General features: G+C 35.3%; 1 protein-coding gene across 11 annotated transcripts in view; it reads left to right on the forward strand.

Annotated features, from left to right (window-relative positions):
* ATRNL1 (attractin like 1) overlaps positions 1–16,843 on the forward strand; it is an 855,635-nt gene that overhangs the window by 230,819 nt on the left and 607,973 nt on the right. For 10 of the 11 annotated variants that reach the window (NM_207303.4, XM_011539588.3, XM_017016035.3 and 7 more), the window contains one exon: positions 10,099–10,236. The exons of the other annotated variant lie outside the window; for it this stretch is intronic. In NM_207303.4, coding sequence (NP_997186.1) covers positions 10,099–10,236 — 138 coding nt within the window. The remainder of the gene's footprint in view (positions 1–10,098; positions 10,237–16,843) is intronic. 11 annotated transcript variants of the gene reach the window in all.

Genomic DNA, 16,843 nt, shown 5'->3' on the forward strand with positions numbered 1-16,843 from the left:
GAATTTTTTTTTCTCTTCCATGTCAGGGTTTGGCAAACCAAGGTCGGTAGGCCAAATCTGGTGTGCTGCAGATTTACGTAAACAATGTTTTATCAAAATACAACTCTACCCAGTTATTTGTGTATTATGTTTGTTTGCTTTTGCACTACAGTTGCAGAAAGGAATAGTTGTGATAGAGACTGTCCTGCAAAGCATAAAATGCTATCTAGTCCTTTATGTAAAAAAAGTTTTACCAATTCCTTTCTTGTAGTATATTTGTATAACCTGGGTTGTGGATGTATCTACAAGGGCCATTTACATCTGCTTTTACAATATCTATGGGGCTTTTTCTGTTTTCAGAGCAGGTTTGTATTAATATTTTACTTGGTGGTTTATTCACCAAATATATGATGTGAATTTAAGATTGCCATATAAGCCTGACATATACTTTAAGTTCCCACAAGTTATGTTTTTCTTTCATAAACATATCCCAGGGGACTTAAAATTCTTTTCTGCTTTTTGTAGAGCTTGTGATGTGTTTTAATACCTTTTTCATAGATAGTGTCTCCAGTTGATAGGATCATTTTATGAACATGGTTCAGTTTAGCTTGCTTCCTTTAGGATGCCAAGAATTATATCCTCTTGGTCTGCTGGATTTTGGAACCCATGCCTCCTAGTTCTTATTCGTCTATTCCACGTATAGTAAAATTTGGTCGCTAGCTCAAATTTAGCTTTACTATTCTTATTTTGAATCTCTGCTTCATTTCTAGCATCTGATAATTCCCATTTCTTTTAAAGTGGTATATGTGTTGAAAAATGCTTTGGGTAAATTTTTGTCTTAAATTTCTGTGTATATTTTTAAAATTTATTAAGATTGTCACAAAGATATTTTTAAATGTTGCGCATCTGTTGCAGAGTAACTATTTTTCAAAACTATGTACTTATTTGCATATCAAATGCTGAGTTGTCATTATATTTTATTTTGATTTTTTTCTGTTTGTGTGTCCATAAATGAGGAGCCATCTGGAGTGGTTTTAAAATTTAGAGAAAATAGAATGGATGACTTCTCTTTAGTTTTATTCATATTCCATAGCTACTGAGATATTAGATGATATTAGAACCTTTCAAGCAACAATGTAAACCTCAACACTCTTATGTGCAAGCTGACATTACCTGTCGATCTAACACTCTTTTGGTAGTGGGGAATAGAACATAACCATAGGCTTACTAATATACCATTTTCTTGTTATTTGATACAGCCATTATGCCTGGGTCCCCTTTTCTGTAATATACTTTCTCCTTTGCCATTGCTACCATATTAGTTATAAGGTGTGACAATTACCAGACTTTTTTCAGCAGATATTTTTTCTGCAGGTAGGTCTAAAGTATACTGGCTTTCTGCATCATATATAGACCATGTCAGGCTTCCTTGATTTATACTTTCCACCAGATGGATGAAGGAATACCAGTGATATGCTTCTTGACTGCCCTATGACTAACCTTTGTTTTCAGAATTTTTCTTATTCAGGAAAGGAGGGTTGAGTGGCATTTTGCTAGGGAACTTCTTTTATCATCAAGAGGTATTATAGATTACTACCTTCTAGTTTTGTTCATGTAGGTCACCATAATGCCTATCATTGCTGGTACATTTACTTATTATTTTACCATTAATCTGTGAGGGAGATGTTAGATATGAGTGCTAAATTTAGCTGTCTTATTCAGATGTTAAAACTTTTTTTTTTTTAATGATTCTTCCAAATGGCCAGAAATTTCATGAAGTTGTTACAGTAACCCATTTCTTACTTTAAATCTTCTGGTAAGTCTTTACATGTAGTGGGCACTCAATAAATTTTGTTTTTACCTGAGTGAATTAATTAGTGGTGTCACAGAGTAAATTTTCTATGAAACAGTACCTTGCCAGGGCAACTAGGCAGGAGAAGGAAATAAACGGTGTTCAATTAGGAAAAGAGGAAGTCAAATTGTCCCTGTTTGCAGATGACATGATTGTATATCGAGAAAACCCTATTGTCTCAGCCCAAAATCTCCTTAAGCTGATAAGCAACTTCAGCAAAGTCTCAGGATACAAAATCAATGTACAAAAATCACAAGCATTCTTATACACCAATAACAGACAAACAGAGAGCCAAATCATGAGTGAACTCCCATTCACAATTGCTTCAAAGAGAATAAAATACCTAGGAATCCAACTTAAAGGGACATGAAGGAACTCTTCAAGGAGAACTACAAACCACTGCTCTAGGAAATAAAAGAGGATACAAACAAATGGAAGAACATTCCATGCTCATGGGTAGGAAGAATCAATATCATGAAAATGGCCATACTGCCCAAGGTAATTTACAGATTCAGTGCCATCCCCATCAAGCTACCAATTACTTTCTTCACAGAATTGGAAAAAACTACTTTAAAGTTCATATGGAACCAAAAAAGAGCCCACATCGCCAAGTCAATCCTAAGCCAAAAGAACAAAGCTGGAGGCATCACACTACCTGACTTCAAACTATACTACAAGGCTACAGTAACCAAAACAGCATGGTACTGGTACCAAAACAGAGATATAGATCAATGGAACAGAACAGAGCCCTCAGAAATAACGCTGCACATCTACAACTATCTGATCTTTGACAAACCTGAGAAAAACAAGCAATGGGGAAAGGATTCCCTATTTAATAAATGGTTCTGGGAAAACTGGCTAGCCATATGTAGAAAGCTGAAACTGGATCCCTTCCTTACACCTTATACAAAAATCAATTGAAGATGGATTAAAGACTTAAACATTAGGCCTAAAATCATAAAAACCCTAGAAGAAAACCTAGGCATTACCATTCAGGACATAGGCATGGGCAAGGACTTCATGTCTAAAACACCAAAAGCAATGGCAACAAAAGCCAAAATTGACAAATGGGATCTAATTAAACTAAAGAGCTTCTGCACAGCAAAAGAAACTACCATCAGAGTGAACAGGCAACCTACAAAATGGGAGAAAGTTTTCGCAACCTACTCATCTGACAAAGGGCTAATATCCAGAATCTACAATGAACTCAAACAAATTTACAAGAAAAAAAACAAACAACCCCATCAAAAAGTGGGCAAAGGACATGAACAGACACTTCTCAAAAGAAGACATTTATGCAGCCAAAAAACACATGAAAAAATGCTCACCATCACTGACCATCAGAGAAATGCAAATCAAAACCACAATGAGATACCATCTCACACCAGTGAGAATAGCAGTCATTCAAAAGTCAGGAAACAACAGGTGCTGGAGAGGATGTGGAGAAATAGGAACACTTTTACACTGTTGGTGGGACTGTAAACTAGTTCAACCATTGTGGAAGTCAGTGTGGCGATTCCTCAGGGATCTAGAACTAGAAATACCATTTGACCCAGCCATCCCATTACTGGGTATATACCCAAAGGACTATAAATCATGCTGCTATAAAGACACATGCACACGTATGTTTATTGCGGCACTATTCACAATAGCAAAGACTTGGAACCAACCCAAATGTCCAACAATGATAGACTGGATTAAGAAATGTGGCACATATACACCATGGAATACTATGCAGCCATAAAAAATGATGAGTTCATGTCCTTTGTAGGGATATGGATGAAATTGGAAATCATCATTCTCAGTAAACTATCGCAAGAATAAAAAACCAAACACCGCATATTCTCACTCATAGGTGGGAATTGAACAATGAGAACACATGGACACAGGAAGGGGAACATCACACTCTGGGGACTGTTGTGGGGTGGGGGGAAGTGGGGAGGGATAGCATTGGGAGATATACCTAATGCTAGATGACGAGTTAGTGGGTGCAGCGCACCAGCATGGCACATGTATACATATGTAACTAACCTGCACATTGTGCACATGTACCCTAAAACTTAAAGTATAATAATAATAAAAAATAATTTAAAAAAAAGAAACAGTACCTTAAGCTTTTAAGGATAATGTTATAAAATTAAAGTTTTTAATAACATTATTGTAAAGATAATATTAATTTATTATAGACAATTGGTAATACAGAAAAATCTTACTTTAGTAAGATACCCATCAGCTTTTCCATAAACGTATTTATACATTTCATCACAAAATTGTCACTATGTTAAATTGAAACAAAATATGCACATGTTTCACACGGTTCAATGCGATGTTTTAATACAGGTATATGTTGTATAATGGTCGAATCATGGTAATTAACATATCTATTACCTTAAACATTTATAATGTGTTTGTTGTGAGAACATTCAGAATCCTCTCTTCTAGCTATTTGAAATGCATTATTGTTAGCTATAATCACCTTACTACTGTTCTTGTACTCTATTGCATCATAGGTATTCCTCCTATGTGTAATATTGTATGCATTAACCAACATGTCCCTATCTCCCCCTCCTCCTATTCTCTCCAGTTTCTTGTAATCATCATTATACTCTTAATGTCTATGAGATCTTTTTTTTAAAGATACCATATATGACTGAGATCATGTGGTGATTGTCTTTCTGTGCCTGGCTTATTTCACTTAAGAAAATGTCATCTAAACTCATCCGTGTTGTCCCAAATGATGGGATTTTATTTTTTATGGACCTTTTTCATGGCTGAAAAATATTTCATTGTGTGCATGTGTGTATGTGTATTTATTTGTTTATTCACACTTTCTTTATCCATTCATCCATGTTTGGTATTTAGGTTGATCCTATATTTTGGTTATTGTGTGTAGTGCTGCAATATATTAATACATTGAAGTGCTGATGTCTCTTCAACATACTGATTTTATTTCCTTTGGATATACACCCAGTAGTGAGATTGCTGGATCATATAGTATTATATTTTTATTTTTTTTGAGAAACCTCCAACTGTTTTTGATGTACCAATTTACATTCCCATAAAAAATGTATAGAGTTCCCCTTTCTCCACATACATGCCAGCATTTGTTTTTTTCACTGTCAATTTTATAATTTACCCATGGCTGTTTAGGAGCATGTTCTTTAATTTCTATCTATTTGTATAGTGTTTGAAGTTCCTTCTCTTTTCTTCTAGTTTTATTTCATTATGGTCAGAAAAGATACTTCATATGATTTTGATATATTTAATTCATTAAGACTTTTTTCCTAACATATTAGCTAACCTGAAGAATGTTGCATATGCATTTGAGAAGAATGTGAATTCTGCAGCTTTTGGATGGAATATTTTGTATATGTGAAGTCATTTTTGTCATAAATTCAGTTTATGTTCAGTGTTTCCCCATATATTTTCTGCCTTGATGATCTGTCGATTGCTGAGAGTTGGGTGTTAACATTCCCCTACTACTATTGTTTTGCTTTCTATACCTCCCTTTGGATCTATTAATGTTTGCTTTCTATATTAAGTTACTCCAATGTGCATTCCATATAAATTCTCGATTGTTCTATCCTCTTGTATTGATCCCTTTATCAGTAAGTATTGACCTCATTTATCTCTTTTTATAGTTTTTGACTTGAAGCCTATTTTGTCTAATAGAAGTATAGTTAATCCTACTTACTTTTCCATTTGCGTGCAATATGTTTTTGCATCTCATTACTTTAAGTCTATGCACATTCTTAAAGGTGAATTGAATCTTTTGTTGGCAGTATGTAGTTGGGTCTTGTTTCTTTATTCATTGACTCACTGTTTGTCTTTTATTTGGAGAATTTAAGCCCTTTACATTCAAGGTAATTATTGGAAGGTAAGGATTTTGTACTGCCATATTGCTACTTGTTTTCTAGTTGTTTTGTAGAACATTTCTTTCTTTCTTCTCTTACTGCCTCCCTTTGTGTTAAGTGATTTTCTCTAGCAATATGATTTGATTTCTTGCTTTTTATTTTTAGTGTATATATTGTAGGCTTTTGTTTTTTGCTTACCTTGAGCCTATCAAAAACATCTTATTATTTTAAAAGGCTATTTTGAATTGATAAGTTAATTTTGGTCGGAAGAAAAGGAAAAACCCACTCTATTCTTTAACTTCATTACTCTTCTACATTTTGCATTTTTGATGTCATAATTTACATCTTATATTGTTTATCCCTTAACCAAATCATTTTAGTTGTTGTTATTTTTATTTGCTTTGTTTTTTAACCTTCCTAATAAGGATATAATTGTTTCTTGACCCACGATTACCATGTTAGAGTATTCTGAATTTGTTTAGATACTTATTTTTACCTGTCAGTTTTATAGTTTTGAACTTTTTTTGTTACACATTAGGATTATTATTTTTTCTTTTTGTTCGAACAACTCCTGAAAGTATTTTTTTTGTAATGTAGTTCTGGTTGCAAGGGTTTTCTTCAGCTTTTGTTTATCTGGGAATGTCTTTAGTCTTTATTTCTAATTAATAAGTTTGCTCTATACGGTATTCTTGGCAGGCAGTTTTGTTGTCTTTGAATATGTCATCCCGCTCTCTCTTGGCCTGTGGGGTTTCTCCTGGTAACTCTCCTGTCAGGCATATTGGAATTCCTTTATGTGTTATTTGCTTTTTTTTTTTTTTTTTTTCTCATGCTGCTTTCAGTGTTCTCTGTCTTTGACTTTTGAGAAAGTGGTTATATATGTCTTAGGGTTATCTTATTTGGATTGAATCTGTTTTGTTACCTTTCACCTTTCTGTACTTGAATATTTATATCTTTCTTCAGGTTTGGACATTTTCTGTTATTTTTTTTAAATAAGCTTTCTTCCCCATTTTCATTTTTTATTCTTTTTTGAACACTAATGATACACAGATTTGCTCTTTTGACACTGTTTCATAGAACCTCTGTGTTTTTCTCATTGCTTATCTGTTTTCTTCTCTGAGTGTGTATTTTCCAATAGCTTGTTTTTGAAATCAGTGATTCTTCTGCTTTGTCATTCTGCTATTGATGCCCTTTATTGCATTTTTTTTTTTTGAGACGGAGTCTTGCTCTGTTGCCTAGGCTGGAGTGCAGTGGTGCAATCTCGGCTCACTGCAACCTCCACCTCCTGGGTTCACGCCATTCTCCTGCCTCAGCCTCCCAAGTAGCTGGGACTACAGGCGCCCGCCACCAAGCCTGGCTAATTTTTTTGTATTTTTAGTAGAGATGGGGTTTCACCATGTTAGCCAGGATCATCTCAATCTCCTGACCTTGTGATCTGTCTGCCTCAGCTTCCCAGAGTGCTGGGATTATAGGCGTGAGCCACCGCAGGTGTGAGGCCTGCATTTTTCCTTTCATTTATTATTCTTTTTAGCTCCTGGATTACTGTTTGATTTTTTAAATTATTTCAATTTGTTTGTTGAATTTCTCTAACAAATTCCTCATTTGTTCCTCTGTGTTGTATTGACATTGCTGATTTTTCTTAAAGCAGCTATATTTTAATTCTTTGATTGCCTATGATTTATGTGCATATGTTTAGGATTAGTAATTGGCACCTTGTTTTGGGCGTTTCATGAGGCCATCTTTTCCAAGCTAATCTTATATCTTCTTTACATGTGTCTCTGTATGTTTATTGACAAATTAGGTATTTTTTTCCAGTCTTTGCAGTCTGGATTTGTTTGTGACTGCTCTGTTTCGGTGGGCTTGTTGACATATTCTGAGCATACTGACTCTTGTATTTCATTTTAGTGCTAGAAGGTGCTCTGAGCCCAGCTTTGACATGATTGTCTAATGCAGGATCCAAACTCATTGTGATCATGGGAGATCCATATTGGGTGCCCAGGCCATGTAAGAGATCAGGGTCAGACCCTCACATATGAAGGATTGTAGACCATCCATCTGACATTGTGGCACTCATAAACATCCTCTGTGGTGGGGCATCCTCTCTGCCAGGGATGGTAAGCCACTGCCAAGTTCTCTGTGCTGCCTGTTACTAGCCCTACTCTTTCTTTTTTCCATAGGTGGCCTCAGGTGGTTCAGCCCCATTGTACTTGTGATGCTCTTCATGGGCTGATGCAGAAGCAAATCTCCCATGAAGGGATTCAGGATGGTAGAGAAGCATAATGCCTATCTCCGGCTTCCTCTTTTGAGTGTAGAATCCCTGAGTCCTGGAGACCTTTCTGTGTATAGTACTCTAAGGGCTTGGGGATGGGGTATTGTGGTCACAGAAAACTGATTCTCTTACCATCCAACCATACTTTTACTAGTCTGTAGTCTGGAGAGGCTTCACAGCCTTACTTGTGCATTCAGGTTTTTTTTAGCCCTCGTGAAGGCAATTGTATGTGTGAGTGGTTGTTCAAATTGATGTTTCTTCGTGGGTATAATTGTTGGAGAAACCTATTTTGCTGTTTGCTCTGCTTCCTTGAATTTAACATTGCCATCTTTCTAAATATAATGCTCTGTATTAATTGCTTCTCTTAATTTGTCATGAACATTATTCCTTGCTATTAAATTTTCTAATTGTTTCATAATGTAATATGGAGTTTAAAAACATTATAATTATTCTCAATTTCATAAAGAGGATGATGAGCATTTTTTCATAACTGCATATTCTTTCTATAATGTGTTACAATAGACTTGCACCTCTAAGAATTTCTGTAAAGTATTTGGTTTTACTCTTTTGTTTGTCTGTTTCTTCACATGCTAATTCATTTTGATGATCCTATGCTAGCCTCTTGGGAATTCCTCTCACTTTCAGATTTTCTGAATATAAGAGGCAGTTTTACATGCTATTTAATATCTGTTTTTTTTTTACATTCAATGTTCCATATACATATTTGTTTCTGTCGTTGATTAGCTGTGTGACTTTGTGTAGTTGCTTAACCCAGATTTCTCCATCTTAGAATCAGTCCTGAACACAGCAACTTCCACATAGCATTGTTTTGAAGATTAAATAATAAAATTCATATGTACAATTTGGTCCTCTGTCTGGCCAAGGCATGGTGTTTACAGTGTTTAAAAATTGATGCTTATGTACACTTACCAATCAGAACAGATACCAACTACAAACAATTGGCACCAGCAGAATATTGGCTTTCCTCATGGAGTGAGAGAGAGCTCAGTTAAATGCTAGTTGCTATCATAGTTGTAATAAGTAAAAATAATCATGAGGGTGACAATTAAGATGATTTTTGGCCAAGCAGTTACCAGACTAAGTTAATTTTATGTCCCAAATAGGCACAAAGAGCATGAGCCTTTCATACATGAACTTTATTCTGAAATTTTTATATTCTGCTGTAATATTAACATCGAAACATGGAAGTCTCAGTTACACAGATATATAAACAATCTCATACTTTATATTTCATTCTGTTTAGTTCAAACTTAAATAGACTTTCAGTTAAATCTTGAAGTTTTTCTTACCTAAAGAAGATACATATTTATGCAAATTAATTCAAAAGTACTTTTTTTTTTTTTTTTGAGACGGAGTCTTGCTCTGTTGCCCAGGCTGGAGTGCACTGGCACGATCTCGGCTCACTGCAACATCTCTCTCCCAGGTTCAAGCGAATTCTCCTGCCTCAGCCTCCCAAGTAGCTAAGATTACAGGCATGCACCACCATGCCCAGCTAATTTTTTTGTATTTTTAGTAGAGACAGGGTTTCACCAAGTTGGCCAGGCTGGTCTCAAACTCCTCACCTCAAGTGATCTGCCCACCTCGGCCTCCCAAAGTGCTGGGATTACAGGTGTGAGCCACCACGCCTGGCTCAAAAGTACTATTTTTATTAATTTTACTATTAGTTTACTTTATTCTGGTTAGAATCTATTGCCACACTATTTTCTATATTGATTGACTCTTTATTATCATGTGTTAATATAATTAAGATGAATTTTAGCATTCTTTATCAAAGTTATAGTATTTAGCCTTGTGTTTATATAACTTAACAGACATACCATTCTTATGAATTTTTAAGGATTATGCTAAAGATTATTCCCTCTTTAGCTATAACTTTTATGTTCCAGTTCATCTTTAACCATGGCATTGTAAAGAGGTTAAGGTAAAATTTCAACACATGATTTATGGTACATACTGTCTTGCACAAAACTTTGAGCTATATGTGTTATTAATTTTTAAACAAAACTTGGAAGATGCTCTTTGGGCACTTTTACAATCCAGCTTTTTAAGATACATTCTTTGTTTTGATAGCTATTATACTTGATATTATGTTAGATATTTGTAATGCTTTTTACTGTTTCCTTTAGCTTGCCAGTGTAATGGACATAGCACTTGCATCAATAATAATGTGTGCGAACAGTGTAAAAATCTCACCACAGGAAAGCAGTGTCAAGATTGTATGCCAGGTTATTATGGAGATCCAACCAATGGTGGACAGTGCACAGGTAAGTTTCTTTTAAGCAAATTTTGGTGTATTTTTACTAAGGAAAAGATAATTAAGAAAGCAGCGCCTGTTGTGGAGAATATATACTACTACAGAAAATTTTTTACTCAGTTTTAGTATGTTTTCTAAAGTAATACATATTAGAAACTGTGAACTATAAAAATTCTGTAATATGCTTGATTCAAAAATATTCCTTTTTCTTATTTCAAAATGAATGCATGTTTCTTATTGTAATTTCTCAAACACAGATAAATAAAAGAAAAAACACCTACTATCTCACTATTCAAAAATAATCATTGCTGATAGTTTTTTTAATAAGTAATAATTTATTGTTTTGACTTCAGAAATAATAATTAAAAGTTAAATGTGTTTAACTTACATCAGGTAAGATTTTTATTGCACAGGGTGGTAGTATAGAGTAGTATCTAGGAGAGTATGGGTTTGGAACCAAATCTGGGCTGAAATCCCAACTCTGTCACTGTTCAAATGTATGACCTTGGTTCATTAACCTCTCAGTGTCTTATTTTTCCCATATGTAAAATGGAGATGATAATAATTCACTGAGTTGTTGTAAAGGTCAAATGAGATTTTATGTAATATAGGCCTTAGGAATTGAAGCACATAAAAAAGAGCATTATAAATGCTAGCCATAATCATCACATTCTTGTTTACTAAACCCTACTTTCCTCCATCTTCCTCTCTATTCTGCCACTTCTTTCTCCTACTTTGTAAATAATATTTGTTCTTTAAATATAATTTCCTTTTAAAGTAGAATTTAATAGAAATCCTTCATTATCTCTAGATTGGAACTTGTCTTTTAAATTTTTAATCTACCGTCTCTAAATGGAGTTTGCCTACATAGCACCCACAGAAATACGTTTTTGGCTGTGAAGATGTGAGGAATTTGAGGGAGTGGAGCCTGACTCTGGTTAGATAATTTTTTTTTAACACTAGCTGCATATTAGAACCAGCTGGAAAGCTTTTAAAAATATGGCTGTCTGGGCCACTTTCTAAAACAATTAAATCATTATCTTGGTTGTGGTTGTAGGGTGATTCTTAGGTAATTGTTCTTTTTAAATGTTTCCCAAGTGACTAATATGCACTCAGAGTTGAGACACATGGGGAATGATGAACTGATTCAACATTTGAGTCAACAAAATTGTGCAGCTAATACAGTTGTACCTTGGTATCCATGCGGATTAATTCCAAGACCTTTCCTGTGTACCAACATCTGCAGATGGTGAAGTCCCTTACATAGTGGTGTAGTATTTGCATAAAACTGATGCATATCCTCCTGTGTACTTCAAATCATCTTTAGTTGTAATTCCTAATACAATGCCTATATTTCACTTCATTCACATGGATTCAAAGTATACTTGGTGCATGGCAAATATAAATTTTACATTTTGGAATTTGGGGGATTTTTTCTGAATATTTTTGATCTGCTGTTGGTTGAGTTCACAGATGTGGAACCCATGGGTAAGGAGGGCCTACTGTAGTATGTTGGGTGACAAATAAAGATAGGTGAATGGAAGTTTTGTGTTATGCAGTGCTCTGATCCATTTGAAGCTCTAATACAGATGCATTGGCCCACATTTAACATTTTTTATATCCTAGGCACCGTACTAATAGCTTTATTGTCATTATTTTATATTAGCTTTACAAAACTGTATGGTATTACTTTGATCCTCATTTTACATGTGGACACAAATATTTAATGCACAAAGAAGTTATCTAAAATACCCAAGATCATATTGCTAGTTAGAGTAAGAAAATGTCTCATTCCTAAACCTCGCTCTTAACTGTTAATGCAGGAGTTATGTTCATATGGACCAGGAAGATCCAGTTGTTCTCACCTAAAAGCCACAGCTTAGTGCTCTGTCCAGTGGATACATAAGATGCAGTAATTATGGGCCAAGTGGAATCCACAAAATTTAGGGTCTACATACTAGAGTCATAGTGTTTTTTAATTTTATATTTCTAAAAAGACCAAGGTTTTCAAGACAAGCTCTTTCTAAAGTGTTTCAGTACTGAATTTTCCATGGCCATACATTTTATTGGAGAAAGTGCATGTGTCAGATAGGTTATGTGTGTTAATGTATTGATTGCATAATTTGAAGAAAAAATATACTATGAGATGTTTTCATTCACATTACAATTTGTGTGTCTCTGTAAACTGTCGTGTATTTAATATAAAATTGTGGTATGTTTTATTTTACTTTTATGAAAATTATTTTGGATATATTTTCCAACATATTTTCATGCCCATATGTAATTAGTTCATTCTGTAATTTACTTAATATATTTCTGTTGGCATTTATATAATGCTTCTAACCATAACTCCAATTCTTGAGAATGACTTTTTAGCAAAGTGAAACCCACATAACAGACACTTAACTATGTACAGTGTTGTGCAACTGTCTGATTTTTTTTTCTTTTTTTTTTTAGACAGAGTCTCGCTGTGTTGCCCAGGCTGGAGTGCAGTGGTGTGATCTCGGCTCACTGCAACCTCTGTGTCCTGGGTTCAAGCAATTCTCCTGCCTCAGCCTCCCAAGTAGCTGGGGGGGGGGGACTACAGGGGCCCGCCACCATGCCTAGCTAATTTTTTTTTTTTTTGTATTTTTAATAGAGATGGAGTTTCACTATGTTGGCCAGGCTGGTCTTAAACTCCTGACCTCGTGATCTGTCTGCCTCAGCCTCCCAAAGTGCTGTGGTTACAGGCGTGAGCCACCATGCCTGGGCATTTTTTAAAGTTTTTAATTAAAAAGAATTCAATTTTTAATTTTGTGGGTACATAGTAGGTGTATATATTTATGGGGTACATGAAATATCTTGATACAGGCATGCAATGTGAAATAATCACTTCATGGAGAATAGGGTAACCTGCTCAAGCATTTATCCTTTGTGTTACAAAGAATCTAATTACACTCTTTAAGTTATTTCAAGTTATTTTAAAATGTACAATTAAGTTGCTACTGACTATAGTCACCTTATTGTGCTATCGAATAGTAGGTCTTCTTCATTCTTCCTATTTTTTTGCACCTCTTAACTATACCCCCTGCCCTCCAGCCCTCTAACTATTGTTTTTGTACCCATTAATCATCCCTACCTTCTCCCCAGCACCCCATTACCCTTCCCAGCCTCTGGTAACCATCCTTTTACTGTCTATGTTCATGAATTCAATTGTTTTGCTTTTTAGATTCCGCAAATAAGTGAGAACATGCAATGTTTGTCTTTCTGTGCCTGTCTTATTTCACTTAACATAGTGATCTCCAGTTCTATCCATGTTGTTGCAAATGACAGGATCTCATTCTTTTTTATGGATGAATGCCATAAAAAATATATACCACATTTTCTTTATCCATTCATCTGTTAATACAGCAGTCCCCAACATTTTTGGCATCAGGGAGTAGTTTTGGGGAAGACAATTTTTCCACGGATGGGGTGGTGGTGGGGTATAGTTTGTGGATGAAACTATTCTACCTCAGATCATCAGGCATTAGTTAGATTCTCATAAGGAGTGCGTAGTCTAGATTCCTCACATGTGTAGTTCACAGTAGGGTTTGAGCTCCTATGAGAATCTGATGCCACCACAGATCTGACAGGAGGCAGAGCTCTGGCCTGAATGCTTTTTCACCCGCTGATCACCTTCTGCTGTGCAGCCGGTTCCTGACAGGAAATAGACTGGTACCAGTCCATACCCAGGGGTTGGGGACCCCTGTGTAATGGACACTTAGGTTGCTTCCAAATTTTATCTATTGTAAACATTGTTGCAACGTAGGAGCGCAGGTATCTCTTTGATATACCAGTGTCCTATTTTTAAGGTTTATACCCAGCCATGGAATTGCTGGATCATACGGTTGCTCAATTTTTAGTGTTTTGAGGAACCTTCAAACTTTTCTCCATAGTACTTGTACTAATTTACATTCTCACCAACTGTGTACAAGGGTTCTGTTTTCTCCACATCCTCACAAACATTTGTTATTGCCTGTCTTTGGATATAAGCCATTTTAACTGGGGTGATATTACAGTTCTGATTTGCATTTCTCTGATGATCCATGATTTTGAGCACCTTTGCATATGCCTGTTTGTCATTTGTATGTCTTCTTTTGAGAAATATCTCTTCAAATATTTTGCCCACTTTTTGATTGGATTATTAGATTTTTTTCTGTGGCATTGTTTCAGCTTCTTATATATTTGGGTTACTAGTCCTTTGTTAGATGGGTAGTTTGCAAATATTCTCTCCCATTCTGTGGGTTTTCTCTTCACTTTGTTGATTGTATCCTTTGCTGTGCAGAAGCTGTTTAACTTGTTGTAATCCCATTTGTCCGTTTTTGCTTTAGTTGCCTGTGCTTACAGGGTATTGTCCAAGAAATTTTGGCCCAGACCAATGTCCTGGAGATTTTTCCCCAATGTTTTGTTCTGGTAGTTTCATAGTTTGAGGTCTTAGATTTAAGTCTTTATACCATATGCTTTTTATATATGGCAAGAGATAGGCTCTAGTTTCATTCTTCTGCATATGGATCTCCAGTTTTCCCAGCACCATTTATTGAAGAATCTGTCTTTTCCCCAGTATATGTTCTGGTCACCTTTGTCGAAAATGAATTCACTGTAGCTGTGTCGATTTGTTTCTGAGTTCTCTGTTCTGTTCCATTGAACTATGTGTCTGTTTTTATGCCAGTATTATGCTGCTTTGCTTGCTGTAGCTCCTTAGTATACCTTGAAGTCAGGTAATGTCATTCCTTCAGTTCTTTTTGCTTTGGATAGCTTTGGCTATTCTGGGTCTTTTGTGGTTCCATATATATTTTAATTTTTTTTCTGTTTCTGTGACAAATGTTACTGTTATTTTGAGAGGGATTGCATTGTATCTGTAGACTGCCTTGGGTAATATGGACATTTTAACAATATTGATTCTTCCAATCCATGAATTGATTCTTCCAATGCATTTTTGGTATCCTCTTCAATTTCTTTAATTAGTGTTTTATAGTTTCCATTATAGAGATCTTTCACTTCTTTGGTTAATTCCCAGGTATTTAATTTTATGTGTGGCTATTATAAATGGGATTACTTTCTTAATTTCTTTTTTATATTGTTCACTATTGGCATATAGAAATGCTACTGATTTTTGTATGTTGATTTTGTATCCTTCAATTTTACTGAATTTATCAGTTCTAAGATTTTTATGGAGTCTTTAGGTTTTTCCAAATATAAGATCATATTATCTGGAAACAAGGATAATTTGGCTTCCTCCTTTCCTATTTGGATGCCCTTTATATCTTTCTTTTTTCTTATTGCTCTAGCTAGGACGTTCAGGACTGTGTTCAATAACAGTGGTGAAAGTGGGCATCCTTATTGTGTTCCAGATTTTAGAAGAAAGCCTCTCAATTTTCCCCCTTCAGTATGATACTAGCTGTGGGTCTGTCATATATGGCTTTTATTAGGTTGAGTTATGTTCCTTCAATCCCCAATTTTTTGAGGGTTTTTATCATGAAGGGATCTTGAATTTTATCAAATGCGTTTTCACTGTCAATTGAAATGATTAGATCATTTTTATCCTTCATTCTAGTGATATGATGTGTCACATGGACTGATTTGCATATGTTGAACCATTCTTGCATTCCAGGGGGATAAATCCCACTTGGTTATGAATGATCTTTCTGATGTACTGTTGAATTTTGTTTGCTAGTATTTTGCACCAACATTCACTAGAGATATTGGCCTGTAGTTTTCTTTGTTTGTTTTTGACATGGAGTCTCGCTCTGTCACCCAGGCTGGAGTGCAGTGGCACGATCTCAGCTCACTGCAACCTCCACCTCCTGGGTTCAAGTGATTCTCCTGCCTCAGCCTCCAAGTAGCTGGGACTGCAGGTATGTGCCAACAAGCCTGGTTAATTTTTGGATTTTTAGTAGCGATGGAGTTTCACCATGTTAGCCAGGATGGTCTAGATCTCCTGACCTTGGCATCTGACAGCCTTGGCCTCCCAAAGTGCTGGGATTACAGGGGTGAGCCACCACACCCGGCTAGTTTTCTTTCTTTTTTTTTCTTTTCTTTTCTTTTCTTTTTTTTTTTTTTTGGTGTGTGTGTCTTTGTCTGGTTTTAATATCAGGGTAATATTGGCCTTGTAGAATGAGTTTGGAAGTATTTCCTTCTCCTCTATTTTTCAGAATAGTTTGAGTAGGATTGGTATTAGTTCTGCTTTAAATGTTTGGTAGAATTCAGCTGTGAAGCCATCAGACCCCAGGCTTTTCTTTATTGGGAAACTTTTTATTATACCTTCAATAACATTACTTGTTATTGGTCTGTTCAGGTTTTGGATTTCTTCCCAGTTCAATCTCGGTAGGTTGTATCTGTGTAGGAATTTTTTATTTCTTCTAGATGTTCCAGTTTATTGGCATGTAGTTGTTCATAGTAGCCACTAGTAATCCTTTGAATTTTTGCAGTATCCTTTGAAATGTCTCCTTTTCCTTTCTGATTGAATTTTTTTGTGTGTCTTCTCTGTTTTTTCTTAGTTTGTCTGGCTAAAGGTTTTTCTATTTTGTTTAACCTTTCAAAAATCAACCTTTTGTTTCATCAGTCTTTTTTTTATTGTTTTCTTCATTTCAATTTTA

The sequence above is a fragment of the Homo sapiens genome, chromosome 10 (assembly GCF_000001405.40).
Source record: "Homo sapiens chromosome 10, GRCh38.p14 Primary Assembly".
Lineage (NCBI taxonomy): Eukaryota > Metazoa > Chordata > Mammalia > Primates > Hominidae > Homo > Homo sapiens.